General features: G+C 34.6%; 1 protein-coding gene across 5 annotated transcripts in view, besides 1 other annotated feature; it reads right to left on the minus strand.

Annotated features, from left to right (window-relative positions):
• The window catches only part of TMEFF2 (transmembrane protein with EGF like and two follistatin like domains 2), a 245888-nt gene that overhangs the window by 153945 nt on the left and 72228 nt on the right, over positions 1-19715 (minus strand). The window lies entirely within an intron of this gene.
• Positions 8374-8984: an enhancer, noted in NCBI's record as "NANOG hESC enhancer chr2:192976090-192976700 (GRCh37/hg19 assembly coordinates)". NCBI's record gives its function as "activates a minimal SCP1, AML or CMV promoter by ChIP-STARR-seq in primed H9 embryonic stem cells {active_cell/tissue: H9 hESC(primed)}" and the evidence as "EXISTENCE:reporter gene assay evidence [ECO:0000049][PMID:30033119]".

Consider the following 19715-nt stretch of genomic DNA (forward strand, 5'->3'; position numbering starts at 1 on the left):
CTTGAGTTTTTCCCAAAAACTTTGGGTCACTCTGGACATTAATGATGGGAATAGTGACTTCTCACTAATTCAGACTTGGAGCTGGCTGCCCAGACACTCAGAAATTAAATTCTATTCTATCAATGATACTCACTGTCCTATAACTCAGTGTTTCATCGAACGTGGTACTTCTTGATCTTCTCTTTTTCTAAAACTCTGTTTTCTGATGTTTATCCCTGCTCCCAAGGAAATTCTTTTTATGAATATCACTATCCCAAAGTGGGTACAATTGCTGTCGTATTTCCTTTCTCCACGCCCCTTTCTTAGTACCAACTGACCACTCATAAGTACTTTCACCAATGACAGGTATTAGATTTTTTCTCATATCCTGTTCACACCTCTGCTTGGATTACGGCCTGGATATGGACCTTTTAGTTTTGGATTCACCTTAAGACATCTGCCCTCTTTTGTTTCTCCTTAGAATAATTGGTCTTTGTCTTGCTTCCATTTCAGATGTACAGTAATCATTTAGTTCAACTAGGACTTGGATCTAGCCTTCCTACTTTATCTTGTTCTTTTGCTAATTAGACATTAACGAAACCTGAGTTCTGACTCAGTATCTAATTCTTTGTGTTAAGTAAGCTTACAGGAAGGTAGTCTTGTTTTCAACTCTTCAGGTAAAGAACCTAGTAGAATGCTATATGAACCGTAAATTAAGTCACATTTAGACCTTGATTACAGGGCTCTCTTGGTAAGAATCAAAGCAATGGTGGGGTCATTAGTAGAATGAGAAGGAATATGAGAAATTGTATGTCTTTGTTTTATATGCAGAGATGCCATAGCCTTGAGGTGAGGGCATGCTTGGTGTGTTTGAGAGAGTAGAGGGAAAAAGAAAGATAGTGCTACGAGATAAAATCAGAGGAATAGCAGCGGGTCTAGATCAGTATACTGCTGTGAAGTTTATTATAAGACCTTTGGCATTTACTCTGAGCAAGATGGAAAAGCCACCGGGAGTTTTGAGAGGACTAACGCTTTCCAACTTTCATTATGAAGGCACATTCTGATGGTTGTATTGAAAAGAAAGCAAAGGAAAGCAACCACTAAAGCAGGGAGAACTAAGAGACTATTTTAACAATCCAGAGAGAGAACAAGAGATAAAATGTTGATGTTGGCTTAAGGTAAAAGGGGGTAGCAGTAGGCATTTCTAAGTACGCTGAATTTATTTCATAGGTAGCTTCTGACAGGATTTGCTGACAGAAGTAGCGTTTAGAGAAAATCAGGTTGACTCCAAAGTTTTTGGCATAAACAACTGAAGAATGCTGTTATTCAGAGAAAGGGAAAGAATATGGTGGGTGAAATTTTAGGGGGCAGATCAGAGTAATTTCCACTTAGGTTAGTTTTCTTTGAGTGAATACATAACCTATCTACATAAGAGGTTTTCTTTTAATGTCTCAAGACATAGGTCAAATATTTATAACCCTGGAAACTCATTACATTGTATACTCCAGCTTAGTCTTCTAACTCATATTGCAATATATGAAACCATTAAAATGGTAATAAAAAATAGAAAGTGGTTACTGGCAAACATTTTAATGCAAAAACCTGACAATTTTAAACCTCTTCTATTCATATTGTATTCATCTTGGATAATTTAACTGGATGAATTAAAGATAACATAAATTATTCAACTGTAAATGATTTGAAAGCAAACAGCACATTCATTTCATCATTTTTTTTTCCTTAGAGCCTTTCATTACAATTCAGCCATTCTGCAATTAATTGTCACAAATTTCTGGCCAATACATTCATTTCCTATCATATTCAAAGAAAATTATTTGAATTTAAAATTCTTACTCTAAATGAGGTATATTGAACATTTCGAATCTTGACAGTTTAATTCTATATTTGTGTCATGAAATCAGTTCTTTTCTTTTTACCTGTCTTATTTCTTTAAGTTAGTTATAGGTAAAATTGTAACCCTGACTGTTATCTCATGTTAACGCAAGACAAGAAAATATGTATGAATGTCGGGAAGAGATTTGACCTGGAAACTTTTCATTTATTGAAAAGGCTGCTTTTGAATTTTGTCACATGAATTATTACCAGAATCCTTTAAATATTCATATAAAGTTTAATTGATGTAGTAATGTTGGGCAACATACTCTTTTCATTTGACCTACTCTAAAGTGACACAAAGCTGTGTTTTTTCCCCAAATTATTTCAATGTTCATGAGATAGAGAGGTTGATTATATACATATTTTATGAAGTGTTACTGAAGTACACATAAAATTAATATTATTTTTCACATTTCCCCCTTATGTAATATACATTCTACAATAAATAAAACCACCTACTGAGCATATCTATCAAGTAATGAGCCTGTATTTTAAGCAGATATTTTTGAAATATTATAGGTAAAATTAATAACAGCTATTATTTTGTGAAGACATTCTAGTTGGAAGGCACTGAGCAATTTACTTTATATGCATTATTGCATCTATCCCTCACAACCACCCTTCGAAGAAGGTATTGTCATTATTTCTATTTTGTGAATAATGAAATGGTGGCTAAGAGCTGTTAGGTATGTTGTCCAACATCACACTATGGTAAGTGGCAGGAAACACTTTGAACCTAGGCAAGTTAACTTCAGAACTAGAAAGCTTCTTTAATTCAGTTGGCATTTCTGAATTTGCAATACTAAGTCATCATATACTACATGCCATTCATGTGCCATAATAAAACTAATTCCAAAACATATATGCAGAAAATGGAAGGTAAAAAAGGATCCAAGTTATTATATCCTTAATCCAACTGCATTTTCTTTATCAAGTACTTCAATATCTAATAGATAAGAATTGTACCATATCCCAATTTTGAGGAACACTTTAGAGAATGCAACTTGTGTCAGAAATAGGGTGCTTAACACAGTCACTATTGGGCATTCCAAAATACTACTGTTGCCAAAAGAAATTGGCAATAAAAAATGTTTGAAGGGCATGTTATTAGTGAATATCAATAGCTTTAACAATACACATATGTCTTGGGAAGAACACTTGCATTTTTAGGAATTAATCTCAAGAAAATAGTCCAAGATGAGCTAATGATTAAATTACATAAATGAAGCTAAAATAATTTAAATACAGTAAAAAATTAGGATATTTGAAATGTCCAAAAATAGAAATTATGGAGATAAGAAAGGAATGCTAGGCATTCATTAAAAATAATGTTTGAGGAGCATATTTATCAAGATAAAAAAGGTCATGATAAACTGCCATTAAACACAAAAATATATGTACAAAAAATGCATAAAATATATGTACAGAAAAATACATAAACTATGTACTACTTTGTGGGGTTAGAAGTGAAACTTGGTACATATGGGAGTTATTGTTGATATTGGAAATAAAATTAATTTCATTTTTATGGATGTTTTTGTTTCTTATTATAGAATAAATGTATAACTTGATAATAAACCAAAAAGTTATTTTCAGAAAGTTACCATTTCATGTTATTTTCTGTTCTAAAACACTGACAACACTTAGCCTACACTGTTTTCAAAAGATGTCCGTGATTTACCCATGTGTTAATTATTTTCTTTAATGAATAATAAAATTTACTCTTCTTAAAAATAACATTTTATAATCTATGCTTGAAAATGTAAAATTCATTCAATTCAAAATAATAAACTCTACTTCAGTACTCCCTATCTGCATGACACTTTTTTTGGTGTTTTGGTAAGTTCCAAGATGAATATATTGTCCTAGTCCCCATGGAGCTCACAAATAGAAAAAATAAAGCACATAAAGCCTAATTTTAATTTCAGATAACATGTAAAAATACATCAATAGTGGCAAAAGTTCTTTTAGTGGCAATGTGGTGAAAATTATTTCCCATTCAGTGAACGGAGAGAAGTTTACTGGAAATGATGGCATTTGATCTTGAAATTGGACTTGAAGAGTAAGTAGGACTTTTATAGGTGGAGTCAAAGAGTTAGGCATGTCTATTTGGCTGGGATTACATGAAGGGCATGTAGGGAGTAAGGCAGAGTAAAATGTACGGTTTATTTTATACCCTGAGTATTTGATGAGTAATAGTGAAATATAAGGCTGAAAAGAGAGTTAAAATGAGTTCCAAATATTCTGAGAAAAAAGACTAAAAGTGTTTGTACTTTATTCTCTATTTACTGTGGAGTTATTAAAACTTTTTCAGTTAGAGAATTACATTATGATAAAGCATGAATAATATTAATGTTAAATGCACATAGGATTAAGGCACTACTGATTCAATACCCATGAACTGAACCCTGGATTCTGGGTGCTTCAGCATCACTTACTGATGAAGAATCTTGATATTGTCATGGATTAGCACAAAAGAAAAAGAAAATTTCCAGAGCTTCCTTCTTTCTTTCAGCTAGAGAACCTGGAAAACTTTATGTTCTCTTCTACTTCAGACATTTTAAAAAGATTCTTAAATTTACCAAGGAGAATGTTTTTATATCTTACCATGAACGTCAGTGTAAATGCTATGCTAGATAAAATAATTTGTAGGAAATGAAGATATAGTATTAGGAAAAAAATAGCTTTTTTAAAGCAGAACTGCCCAATTTATACAATCTCTAGAATCTCATATGCTGATAGTCTATCAAAACAAGGAGCTAAAGTTTTTTATAGACTTGGAAAATGTATATGCATTCACAAGATATTCTTCCTATGTTTATAAGACACTGAAGTCTTTGTTAGTTTCCCAAATATAATAATTCAAGTGTTTTCTCCACGTATGGCAATGTGAGTATATACACTGCAGTAAGAATGAAAATTCCTGTATCCCAATAAAATTGACTCAGTATGTCAGTAGTGCAGAACAATCAAGAAATCACAAGGCAAAATGGGAAATTAAAAGGTCATCCTATTCATCCTCTATCTGCCTTACAAAACTATCTCTCTAATTCTAATTCTATACAAAGATAGAAACAATATAACTGTTTTTTTTTTTAGAAAACAGATAATTTCTGTCATAACTTCATAATGACAATGTGTTATAAACTAAATTTCTTTCTTTTGTTCTGGCACTGAATAGAAAAAAGTGTAACCAGATAGCTAGTCGTTCGTTATATGTGATCAATTATCTTACCTAGTTCAAACAGGTCAATTTTTTAAAAAACTTATTTTTAGAGCAGGCAATTAACTCTGATATTTTCCATAGACAAATTACTAATCTAGCCAGTAAATTCAAGATGAATACTTTTGCTTATTTGGACCTTGGACAAAACAAAATACAACAAAACAAAAAGTAGCTAAATCAGAGTAATGTTTCTGATTCCCTAACAACAACTTGAATTGGATGCAATATTCATATGGATTATTAGTGTAATCCACATGTATGAAAGACAGGGCATTATTTAAATGTAATCTTTTTTTAAATGAAAATAAATATTAGATTATTCCATAGCCTTCTTTACACTAAAAGTCTTTTTCCAGGTCATTGTGCTGATGCTTTTTAACCTTCGTGTTTAAATTCTTTAATGTCGTTAACACATTGCAACAAATTCTTTATGATTTCTAAATTATCAAACACTGAATTAATACTATACTTGAAAAATTAACAATGAGAGGAACCCTGTATGTGGGTGGAAATGTAAAATAGTACAGTCACTGTGGAAAAGAGTTTGATGGTTCCTCAAAAAGTTAAACAAAATTATCATTTAGCCCAGCAATGACACTCCTTGGTGTATACTAAAAATAACTGAGAACAATTATTCAAACAGATACCTGTACGCCAATATTCACAGCAGTGTTATTCGCAAAAGCCAAAAGGCAGAAACAACACAAGTGCCCATAAACTTATGAATAGATTAAAAAATGTAATATATAGATACTGATGGAATATTATTTAGCCATAAAGAGCACTGAAGTGCTGATTTATGTTACAACATTAATGAAACATGCCAAGCAAAATAAGCCAGACACAAAAAGACATATAGTTCACGATTCCATTTATATGAAATACCTAGAATAGGTAAATTCATAGAGACAGAAAATAGATTAAAGGTTACTAGTAGAAAGTTATTGCTTAATGGGTAGTGTTTCTGTTTAGTGTAGTAAAAAAGTTCTGGAAATAAGTAGTGGTAATGGCTGCACAATACTGTGTACGTAATTAATGCCACTGAATTACACACCTAAATATAGTTAAAATGGCAAATTTTATGTCATACGCATTTGTCCCCAGTAAATATATATCAAGAACAATATGAAATAAATAATTAGTATGAGAGTTCATGTACTATATTCTTATTTATGGATCCTTTATTGATTTTTAAAAAATCAGCAGACATATACTGTTGATTCACATGCAATCTACTGCAAGTGAAATCTTTGCAAATCCCTTTCTGTTTTATCGACTCACTGCTGGTTGCTACCTCTTATCAATTTCCCATCCCTTCAAGGTATCTGTTTCCTTAGTATATTGATCCTCATTGCATTTATTTCTAACCTCTTTTACCTGACCAAGAGATGTTAAATTTTTAACCAACAATAAATAATTTCTGAAGATGCCTCTGGATTTAATGAACACTTACAATGTTATCTCTGTTATAGATAAGATAAAAATAAGTAGACAGCTTCAAGACAGACTGACTGTCAGGTCCACACTACCTGATGACGCACTACATATGGTGGGGAGGTAGAGGAAGGGGCAAATATTGAAACAACCATTTGTTTTCTGACTTAAAAAATTGAATTGAAGTAGGAACTTCAATTAGAACTCCAGATTTTGATATGTGCGAAATGTGTGCATGCCTGTGTGTAGGAGGATAACTCATTTGGTTTGGACATATTATGTTGTAGGTTCTTTTAAAGCATTTTTGAGATATCCTTAATTGTCTAATATTGTGTAAGCAATTACACTTCCAAGTCTGAACCTCAGAGAATTCTGGATGAGAGACCTAAGTGAAGATTCCATTGGCATATAGATCATAAAGTCATAGGTATGAATGATATGGCTTAGGGAGAAAATTTAGAATAAGGAAAGGAGATGAAAAGAAAGAAGAACAGAGAAAAAGGATGGGGGGAGTCTGTGACTATTCACTGAGGAACTCCAATATTTAATGTCTGGATGATGAAGATGAGCCAGCAAAAAGAGACAGAGAAGTAGTTATTAGAAGCATGATAAACAACTAGGCCCAGAGAGCAATACAAGCTGAAGAAACAGAAGATTTTCAAGAACTAAGGGGTCAATGGAGTCACCCACATCTAAGTGGTCAAGTTGAGGACTAAAATATGTCCACTGGATTTCATAACCCAGAGGTCATTGGTGACTTTACAAAGAGTTATTTATGTGGTAAGATGGGGTAGGAAACCAAATTGAAATGGGTTGAGTGGTGATTAGGAAGTGGAGTTAGAGGATATAGACAATTATAAACAAGAGAAGATAAGAGTGATGGCAACTAGTGTGCTAGTGGTAAAGGAAAGTTTTTGTTGTTTTTAGCTGATATCCTTCATCTTTTGAATAACACTCCAACTGTAATTTTATTCTTTTCTGTCTAAATATCTCTCTTCCCTTCCAAGACAATCCTTACCCAATTCTTTCTATTTCTTCTAGGATAAATAGCATTTATCAACTATTTACCATATACGAGCTTGTTATAAACACAGAAATGTCAGATTTGTTGCAATTCTAGCACATCTCTTTGTACCATTAATTTTTCATTTATTGCTGTTTCTTTTTAACATAGCTGAATGAAGTCTTGTTAAGATGTGTGTTTGTTATTTTGCATTTACATAGTTGATATGGTTTGGCTGTGTCCCCACCCAAATCTCATCTTGAATTGTAGTTTCCATAATTCCCATGTGTTGTGGAAGGGGCCTGGTGGGAGATAACTGAATCATGGGGGCAGTTTCCCCCATATACTGTTCTCATGGTACTGAATAAGTCTCATGAGATCTGATGGTTTTATAAGGGGAAGCCCTTTTTTGCTTTGCTCTCATTCTCTCTCTTGCCTGCTGCGATGTAAGACATGCCTTTTGCCATGATTGTGAGGCCTCCCTGGCCACGTGTAACTGTTAGTCCGTTAAATCTCTTTTCCTTTATAAATTACCCAGTCTCAGGTATGTCTTTAACACAGCTTAAAAATGGACTAATACAGTAAATTGGCACTGGGAGAGTAGGGTGCTGCTGTAAAGATACCCAAAAATGTGAAAGCGACTTTGGAACTGGGTGACAGGCAGAGGTTGGAACGGTTTGGAGGGCTTAGAAGAAGATACAAAAATGTGGGAAAGTTTGGAACTTCCTAGAGACTTGTTGAATGGCTTTGATCAAAATGCTGATAATGATGTGGACACTGAAATCCAGGTTGAGGTTGTCTCAGATGGAGATGAGGAACTTGTTGAGAACTAGAGTAAAGGTAACTATTACTATGTTTTAGCAAGGAGACTGGTGACATTTTGCCCCTGCCCTGGAGATTTGTGGGACTTTGAACTTGAGGGAGATGATTTAGTGTATCTGATGGAAGACATTTCTAAGCAGCAAAACATTTAAGACATGACTTAGGTGCTGTTAAAAGCATTCAGTTTTAAAAGGGAAACAGAGCATAAAAGTTTGGAAAATTTGCAGCCTTATGAAGAAAGAAAAACCCATTTTCTGAGGAGAAATTCAAGCCAGCTGCAGAAATTTGCATAAGTAAAGAGGAGCCAAATGTTAATTGCCAAGACAATGGGGAAAATGTCTCCAGGGGATTTCACAGAACTTTGTGGCAGCCCCTCTCATTGCAGGCCCATAGGCCTAGGAATTAAAAATGGTCGGCTGGGCCCATGGCCCCCCTGCTATGTGCAGGCTAGGGAGTTGGTGCTCTGTGTCCCAGCAACTCTAGCCATGGCTAAAAGGGGCCAAGGTACAAATTGGGCTGTGGCTTCAGTGGGTGCAAGCCCCAAGCCTTGGCAGTTTCCACGTGGTGTTGAGCCTGTGGGTGCACAGAAGTCAAGAATTGAGGTTTGAGAACCTCAACTTAGATTTCAGAGAATGCATGGAAATGCCTGGATGCCCAGGCAGAAGCCTGCTGCATGGATGGAGACCTCATGAGAACCTCTGCTAGAGCAGCGCAGAAGAAAAATGTGGGGTTACAGCCCCCACACAGAGTTCTCACTGGGGCACTGCCTAGTGGAGCTGAGAGAAGAAGACCATCATCCTCCAGACCCCAGAATGGTAGATCCACTGACAGCTTGCCCTGTGCACCTGGAAACGCTGCATACACTCAACACTAGGCCGTGAAAGCAGCCAAGAGGGAGGCTGTCACTGCAAAGCAACAGGGGCAGAGCTGCCCAAGGCCATGGGAACCCACCTCTTGTGTCACCATGACCTGGATGTGAGACATGGAGTCAAAGGAGATCATTTTGGAGCTTTAAGATTTTACTGCCCCACTGGATTTTGGATTTGCGTGGGGCCTGTACCCCCTTTGTTTTGACCAATTTCTCCCATTTGGAATGGCTGTATTTACCCAATGCCTGTACCTCTATTGTATCCAGGAAGAAACTAACTTGCTTTTGATTTTACAGGCTCATAGATGGAGGGGACTTGCCTTGTCTCCGATGAGACTTTGGACTCTGGGCTTCTGAGTTAATGCTGAAATGAGTTAAGACTTTAGGGAACTGTTAGGAAGGCATGATTGGTTTTGAAACGTGAGAACATGAGATTTGGGAGGGTCCAGGGGTGGAATGATATGGTTGGGCTATGTCCTCACCGAAATCTCATCTTGAATTGTACCTCCTGTAATTCTCATGTGTTATTGGAGGAACTTGGTGGGAGATAATTAAATAATGGGGGCTGTTTCCCCCATGCTGTTCTCATGGTAGTGAATAAGTCTCATGAGACCTGATGGTTTTATAAGTGAAAACCTCTTTTGCTTGGCTCTCATTCTCTCCTGTCTGCTGCCAAGTAAGACATGCCTTTCACCTTCTGCCATGATTGTGAGGCCTCCTCAGCCACGTGGAACTGTGAGTACATTAAAATTCTTTTCCTTTATAATTACCCAGTCTTGGGTTGTCTTTGTCAGCAGTGTGGAAACTGACTAATAAAATAGCTTCTTGGAAATAATGATCTGAAAATCTATATTTTGTATATTTCAAGTGTTTTAACATGATTTAATTAATGTTGAAGGTTGTAGAGGCACTTAAAATTAATATTATGAATAAGAGTATTTGTTGATTTGAAAATATTTAGGCTTATACACTATTGAAAAAGTATTGGCACTGTAGCAAATGTTAGAGAAGATTATGTCAGTTGTATTATTCTTCTCCCAGTGATTGATAATAATTAAAGGATTAATAATTGGGCAGGTTGAGTAGACAAGTCTGCATATTGATATTTTTCAGTAAATTATAGTGTTCCTTGAAAAGGTAAATTATTTTTTATATATTCTTGAGTCTTAGTTATCACATATCATATGTTATCACCAAACAAGAAAACTATTTTCATGAATGAACACTGGTCTTATGGTTACGCAAAGTAAATAGATAGATAGATTATAGAACATATTTTTGTTTGGGATATTTCTTCCTTAAGAAATTTCTTTTCTCTGCATAGAAATAATGTGGAATAAACATATCACTTAATCACATTAAATCAATTCTAATAAGCTGTTTAGGTTGTTTTAAATATATATTCTGGTAAATATAATTAGCATCCCTAGAAATAGTAGAGGAAAATGAAAGGTATTTTTCAATAAGCAATAAGCTTATATATGAAAATAATAAAAGTTCTCAAACAGTGAGTTTAATACTGGCAGTTGCTCAAAAGCAGGTGAGAGTAATAGTAGCTAACAGTTGCTGGGTACTTAGTATTCACCAAGCACTTTATTGTATTTGTATATCTACACCCTCCTAATGAAGCAAGAACTATTATTATCCCCATTGCATTGATGGCAACTGAAGCTCAGAAAAGGGCACATTGCTAACAGTAGCACAGGGATTTCATCTTAAATCTCTTTTACTTCAAAGTGTGGCTTTTCACCTCTATGCTTTAATAACATTGACAATCAAAACCGATATGGGTTTCTACACAGATTTACTTTTTACTTGAGAACAATATTGAATAAAATCTGGAAATTGTGTGTGTGTGTGTGTGTGTGTGTGTGTGTGTGTGTGTGTGTGATAGCCCTTAACCAATAATAAACATCTTTTCTCTTTAAAGCACAAAACCCAAAAGAAAATATAAAATAAACAACTCAGATTGTAGAGAACAGGAATATAGCCCTTGATCCAAAAGAATCATATTATGTTATATGAAAATAAAGTTTGGATAATATTACCTGTTTCTGTGGCAGATAATTTTGCTTTATCAGTATAATAGTTAACATTAAATTCTGACAATATATTTGGAATAAATAAAATATAAATTAAAAATATAAAAATGCAAGGATGATAAGGAAGAAGACAAGGATGCCCACTCTCTCTACTGCTATTCCATATAACACTGAGAGTCCTAGCCAAAGCAATTCACCAAGGAAAAGAAAAAAAAAGGGCATCCAAATTGCAAAGAATAATGTAAAATGGTCTTTGTTTACAGATGACATAATCCTATATATATATATATAACTCTAAAGAATTCACCAAAACTAATGAGCAAATTCACTAAAATTGCAGGATATCAAATCAACATACAAAAATTACTTGAGTTTCTACACTCTAATGATGAATAAGTTAAGAAAACAATTCTGTTTACAGTAGCATCTAAAAGAATAAAATACTTGTAAATAAACTTAAACAAGGAGGTAAAAGTTCTATATACTGAACACATAAAACATGGATAAAAGAAATTATAGAAGACACAAATAAGTGAAATAATAAAGTGTCAAAATGTCAATACTACCAACTGATAGTTATAAGATAAACAAGTCCTGAGGCTCTCATGTAAAGCATGGGTGATGATGAATGTGTTAATTGATATTATTGTGATAAACATCAAACAATGTATATGTATATCAAATCATCACACTATATAGCTGACTATATATAATCTTTGTCAACTAAATATTTTTTTAAAGTCCATACTACCCAAAGTGATCTACAGATTCAATGCAATCCCTATCAAAATTTGAATGGCATTTTTCTCACAGGTAAAAAAATTCCTAAAATCCATATGGAGCCACAAAAGTTTCTAATTAGCTAAAGCAACCTTGAGTAAGAAAAAATGAAACTGAAGGCATCATATTACCTGACTTCAAAGTATACTACAAAGCTATGGTAATCAAAACAACATGGTAGTGGCATAAAAAGAGACATATAGATCAATAGAACAGAATAGAAAGCCAAGAAATAAACCTATGTATATAAGACAAACTAATCTTCAGCAAAAGCTCCAAGAATACACAAAATGGATTAAAGACTTAGACATAAGACCTGAAACAGTAAAATTCCTACAAGAAAACATCAGGGAACAGCTGTATGACATCAATCTTGGCATCTTGGCAATTATTTTTTGGATAGAACACCAAAAGCACAGGCAACAAAAGTCAGATAAACACGTGGAATTACATCAAACAAAAAAGTTTCTACAGAGCAAATGAAACAATCAACAAAGTGAAAAGCAACATATGGAGTGGGAGAAAATATTTGCCAGCCACGTATATGAGAAGGGGTTAATATTCAAAATATATAAGGAACTCTACAACTCAATAGCAAAAATCAAAAACAAACCCCCCAAAAAACTCAATCAAAATATGGGCAAAGGCCATCATTTATTCGAAAGCTTACATCTAAATGGTCAACAGTTATATGAAAAGGTGATTAACATCACTAATCAGGGAAATGCAAATGAAAAACACAATGAGTATCACCTCACGTCTGCTGGGATGGCTATTATAAAAAAGTCAAAAGATAAGTGTTGCCAGGGATGTGGGGAAAAGGGAACTCTTATAGACTGTTGGTGGAAACTTAATTTGGTGCAGACATTATGGAAAAATAGTATGGTGGTTCCTAAAAAAATAAAAATGAACTACTATATGATCCATCAATCTGTTCTTCTGGGTATATACCAGAGGAAATTAAACCACCACCTCATAAACTATCTGCACTTCCATGTTCATTACAGCATTATTCACAGTAGACAAGGCATGGAAACAACTGAAGTGTCCATCAACAGGTGAATGGATAAAGAAATTGTGATACACATAAACACAATGAAATATTTTTTTCAGACTTAAAAAGAAGAAAATCTTGCCATTTGCAACAATATGGATGAACCTTGAGACAATTATGCCTAGTGAAATAAGCTATACACAGACAAATACTATATAATCTCATATGTGGAATCTAAAGAGTCAAACTCATGGAAACTGAGAGCAGAGTGTGATTACGGAGTGGGGAGAGATACTGAGGAAATGGGGAGATGTTGGTCAAAGAGTACAAATTTTGGTTTATAAGATGAATAAGTTCTAGAGACAAAATGTACAGCATCGTGAGTATACTTAATAATAATGTATTGTATACGTGAAACTTGCTAAGACAGAGTAAATCACAAGATTTGCCTAGTGTTATTTAGTAAGCAAAATGAAAATAAATGAATCAATTCAATATATGGTTAAGTTAGTATATTTTGCTAAAAGAATATATACTAATATTAGTCACTGGATATAACCATAAAGGAAATAATTTTGTAGTTTTGTTCAAGTTGTTAACAATCTGAAAAGATTGACAAAACAGCTAAATAATTTTATTTAAAATGTAACTACTTGTATTTTAAAAAGTATTCTCTGAGAGCTGGTCTGAATCTTTGTGAGATGTGAGACCTATGTATTAGAAATCTTTTTATATAAATTAAGACTGCTGCCTTTGTCATGACGTAAGAAATTAAAGAATCAAGATCAGGATTATTAAAAATGCTAAATCTCAGTGCATCATGTTACTTATGATTGCTGATAAGAGTTTGTAAACCTTTTAAGCAAGAGATCAAACATCTATGGCTCAATAGTCATTCAGAACAATGACATCTTATTTATATAGCTATTTTTTCAAAAACGTATTTTTCTTATTTTCATTGTTATCTAACAGCACCATTTTAATAAGTACTGCTGTATATATTTTCAATAGATGTTTGATATTTGTAATGTTTTTGACCAATTATTTTCTTGACAAATGATACCTTAAAATGTGATTACTGATAGATGGAGGCTATAACAGAATGTCTGTAATCAGATGTAGTAAAAAGACTGTTTCAGAAATCTTCCAAAAGCACAGTGCTCTCTCAGAGTTATGAATAGCTACCTTTAAGGATAATTTTCAGAAACTATACGTGATACTAGAATTTATTTCTGAGACCTATAATCAACTCAATGATAAGTAGACTTAAAATTATTTAATATCATACTGGTATATACTGTTATGTGCTCACATAAATTTGGCATAAAAATTTAAAATACTGGTAGTAGGTTAACTACTAGGTAGAAGTAAAAGATTCCTCAAGTGAGTAAGATGGTAATTTATTTAATGGGATCCAAATAGAACACTGGGGAAAGGAAAAACAATGAGTGAGAAGTACTTAAGTTAAAAAGAAAATTTTTTGTTTCTGAGGAAGGAGAATAGGGTCTGGAGGCAGAGAACCTAAGGCTGATTAAGGCTAGCTTCCTAGAACTCCAAACTCCAAAATGAAAACTCCAACTTTCCATGCCCAAGTAACAAAAGGACCATATGTGACTCTTTTTCCACCTCCCCACCCCCCACTTTTCTGCATGGCAGATGAAAGGACCTCTGATTGGTTTCTATCTCACAACCAATCAGACTGGTCCCAGGCCAAGTCTTCATTTGCATAGAAGTATAACTTTGTAACATCACTTCAGCCTCTGATTGCTGATCACTATTTCATTTACATAGGGTGTACACTAAGTAACCAATGGGAAACCTCTAGAGGGTGTTTAAACCCCAGAAAATTCTATAACCAGTGCTCTTGAACCACTTGCTCAAGCCCGCTCCCACTCTGTGGAGTGTACTTTTGTTTCAATAAATCGGTGCTTTTCTTTCATTGCTTTGTTTGTGGGCTTTACCTAATTCTTTGTTCCAAATGCCAAGAATCTGGATACCCTCCACTGGTAACAGTTCCATTAATTAAAAAAAAAAATAGATTTGGAATAAAATTAATCTACTTGAGAGACATTTGTTTTTATTTCCTTATGATTTACTCCATAAAGGTAATGACTTTCAGTCTCAATTTTGTAAGCTTCTCAGTGATGTTCTAATCAAAATGGAAGTTTTTTTAGCAAGAATTTTAGACTAGAGATTTTTTGGTAACAGATGGATATGCCAACAGATGTGTTTGATCCTCTTCAATTGACTACCTACAGCAACTGCCAGTTTTTGAGAGTTCTGTAAGGATTGTGTTTCTAACAGGCAACCACTTTGCAGTAAAAATTTTGGGAATGATGTAACTACTCCTCCATAATAGCTCTAAAAGAATCAAAGTTTCGACAGAGAAAATTGCTTTGTCTTTAAAAAGTATATATAAGTCACAGTGTGACAAAATGAATTTCCCCTTTCTCCAGCTCTGAAGTGCCCTCCTTGTGTGTTCAGAAATGCCTCTATGGGTGATGTGAAGTGTACAGTAAACAGTGAAGAGATACTTGCCGGTTTAATTACAGAAGTTGTCTCAGGAACTGAGAGTGTATTCAGCACACCTAAATATGAAGGCAGTTTTCAGCTTTTAAAAAATTATAACAATTTGCTACCTGACAAGACAAATTCCTTGAAGACCAAATTTCTTTGTACAGCAGATGTAAAATGTCCATAAAGTAAGTAAATCTGAGCTAGACCTGAGCTGTCCAGATATGAAAATACTTTATATGTAGATTTCCACCTGAGGTCCCATATAATTTTCATAGCCCTTTATTCTGATGCCAATTTCAGAAAGTAATTCACATACATATTTTAAATATATACCAATATTATTGTTATATATTTTACCAAATTATTTAGAAAATAGGTAAGCATACTACTTGACAATACAAGTTCTGAATTGGTGAAAATGTCTCTACTTTATTCTCAGAGCTTATAAATATACCTTTAATAAATACATATTTATTGTTTTGAATGTTTAATCTCTGCTTTTGTTTCTAGAAGTCAGAAAACTTTTTCTGTAAGAAGCCAATGAATAAATATTTTAGGCTTTGTGGGCCAAGGGGCAAAATCAAGTATGTTGTCCAACTACTTATGTGACAAGATACCAAACTAATTTTCACAAATTTGTTATTGATAAAATCCAAAATATAATAGTAAAAATGGAGTGAATATTGTGTAATACAAATCTACTAGTGAGAAAATGAAATTCTTTGGGGAGTATATAACATTTTGCATAATTGAGGTTCAAAGTTAGTATTCTTTATCATTGAAATTAATTGCAAATGTTCTTCTGTAATAAGATTTTGTTTCTTACATCTTTGAATATGTTTTTCCAACCAGATAGGTAGTGCTAAAGACTTACATAAATTCATGAGCATATGATTTTAGTTGAGTATATTTGTCACTTGGAAGGAATTCATAGAATTCCACTAGATTCATCTCTCAATATATGCCTTTTAGCATGTCTTTAAATTGTAGACCAATGACTTCCAATTGAAAGTTAAGTGGAAGCCCACAATCACACAGTTATATGCATTTTAAAATAGAAAAATTTCCTTTGCATTTACTTTGGGGTTTCACCTCAGACAATACATCCCTCATAAATCTGTGTGAGAATGGAGGTTTCATTTCCTGCTTTAACTTTGACAGTACAGGGAGGGAGTTTGTTTCTAATGCAGCTTGATATTACTTGTGATTCAAACAATGTCATCTGTCCTCTAAATGAATTGACAGCAGTGTAGTTTTCACATGTAGGTGTTGTATGCCTTCAATCGTAGGTGGAATTTATTAAGAAACATTATCAACTTTGCTGCAACAGCTAATTTTTAAAGCCAACCTGGGTTAAATTACAGTGGCTGAGCCCTGAACTTGGTCCTGAGTAATTTCTGGACCCTGTTCTAGAGAATAACACAGGAAATTGCTTAAACTGCTCTCTAGTAAATATTATGATAGGAAAAACTGAAATAGACATCTCTTTATCAATTAAGATGGTCCCTAAGTTAAGGAAACAAAAGTTTCCTATGGGTCAAGGCTCAGGGCTTGGCTGGTAGGGCAAATTTCCAAATTTCTACCACCATAAGACAAACCACAGCCCTGCTAAATACCCTAACAGTAGGAGCTATTAGGCTGATTTACTACCCAGACCACTACAACCCTGACTGAACAGAGGACTGGCCTTACATTTTTTTTCTGAAAAGCTATGGCAGACCTTAAGCCAGTTTCAGCCAGTTTGTAGAGGCTGCACACAAACTGTCTTTGGGTCTTATAGTTCACCTTTTCATGGAAAGAGCGAAATTCCACCTCTTTTAATGCTCAAACCCCACCCCACAGTGAACATGGGATGTACATTACATGCATGTTTACCTATTGTGCGTGTGCTCAACACTGCTCATAAATATATACAGCTTTTCCCCTAAACCTGTTGAATATGTATGATACTGGCCCTGTGAGGCATAAAATCCAACTTGTTCTTCCCCTCTCTGAAGAGAGAGCACCTTTGTGCCTTGTGGAGACTTTCTCTTCCCAGCTTGGAAATTGATAACGCCAATAAAACTCTCCTTTCTACCAATTTACCATCCTTGTGGTCTTTTGGGTGACAATGCTTGTTTCTATTTGCCTTGAGCAAAATGTAGAGATCTGTTATAGTATCCACTCTTTCATAAATTTATTGAATAAACATTTTTTTTTTTTTGAGATGGAGTCTCGCTCTGTCGCCCAGGCTGGAGTGCAATGGCACAATCTCAGCTCACCACAACCTCCGCCTCCCAGGTTCAAGCGATTCTCTTGCCTCAGCCTCCCGAATAGCTGGACTACAGGTGGGCGTCACCATGCCCAGCTAATTTTTGTATTTTTAGTAGAGACGGGGTTTCACTATGTTGGCCAGGCTGGTCTGGAACTTCTGACCTTGTGATCCGCCTGCCTCAGCCTCCCAAAGTGCTGGGATTACAGACGTGAGCCACCACACCCAGCCTGAACAAACATTTTTCTAGGGGCCTACTATGTACCTGAACTCTACTAAGTATCAGAGAAGAGGAAAAACAAAACAAAAGAAAACAAAAAAAACAAACATACACCGAGTCTAGTGGGGGAAGGAGACATGTTAGCAGGTAATTCTAACAACACAATCAGCGCTAAGAAGATAGAAGCAAAATGTGCTATAAAGCAGAGGACAGAACCAAATAATTGTAATTTGTCAGATGCCATAGTTTGAAAAGAAACTCCAGATGAGAGGATATCTGGTCTCGGTCATAACAACTATGTAGAAGTTTCTTAGGTCAGGAAAGGAAATTCTGGACAGAGGTCACTTTGTACATAAAGAGCTAGAGGCAGGAAAAGTCCATTGTGAGCCTAGAGAAGGGAGAGCCAGTGGAGACAAAGTAGAAGGAGGGGAAGGAGGAGGTGGAAGGACCAGGCTATAGGGGCAAGATAAGGCTAAACTGGAGTGGTCTTTGGAACTAGGGCTTCAGCTTTTAAATGAAAATATATCATCTGGGTGATCTTAAAATTTAAATTCTGATTCAGTTGGTCATGGCTGGGCCTGCCATTCTGCCTCTGAAAGGAGACTGCAGGTGATGGTAATACTGCTGGTTTTAGGATCACACCTGAATAGCAAGATTCCACACCACACTAAGGGTTTTAGCTCTCATCTGGTCATGGATTAGACAGTTGTCATTTTTCTAGCAGAACAGTAACACAATCAAATTTTGGAATTACAAAGATAAACTCATAGCTCAATGGAGTATAAACTGCCTGTAGGAAACAACAAGCATAGGAGAGAATTGCTGAGAGAAACTTCTCAGAAAAGAAGATTCAGCAAAAAAAATTCTTACAGCATTTATCTTCAGGAAAGAAATGCTGGATGGATAAGGAGTACAAAATTACAGTTAAATATTAGGATTACATTTTAGTGTTCTATAGCATAATAGAGTGACTTTAGTTAACAATAATTTATTGTACATTTTAAAATAGCTGGAAGAGAGAATTTTGAATATTCCCAACTCAAAGAAATAATAAATATTTCAGGTGATGAATATGCCAATTACTATAATTTGATCATTACACTTTATAAACATATCAAGGTGTCATATGTGCCCCATATATATACATAATTATTATTTGTCAAAAAAACTCAATGGAAAAAATATGGCCATACTTCATCCCAACCCCTCTATTCACCAGTGAAAAAGCAAAAACAGAATTTGATTTTCTTAATGCTAAAAAAAGGTACTTAGTAACAGGACTTACTCCAACAGGAAATATACAAGAGAAATATTTTGGCGTGTAATAGCTAACCTCCAGTCTGCTGAAACTGATGTCAGAGGAATTTAGACTCTGCCAATGTAGAAGCTTTATTTTAAGGTTTCAGAAAATATTCAGGTGATAAGTTATGCAGTTTTTCTTTTCTTAAGAATGGGATAGGCCTTTCTCCTTTAGGAATGGCTTAATTCTGCCAAAGAACAATATGATTTTTAAGGTATTTTAAATATGGTGTATGGTACTGCATTATACGGCTTCGGTACTGATCAACGGGGCAATGAAACAGACTGCATTTTACCAAGTCTGTTTATGAAATTAACCGTGCACATCTGCTTGGTCCAAAGACTAATTTAGTGTAGAATAATAAGTAATTAGAAGATTACCTT

The sequence above is a fragment of the Homo sapiens genome, chromosome 2 (assembly GCF_000001405.40).
Source record: "Homo sapiens chromosome 2, GRCh38.p14 Primary Assembly".
Taxonomy (NCBI): Eukaryota; Metazoa; Chordata; class Mammalia; order Primates; family Hominidae; genus Homo; species Homo sapiens.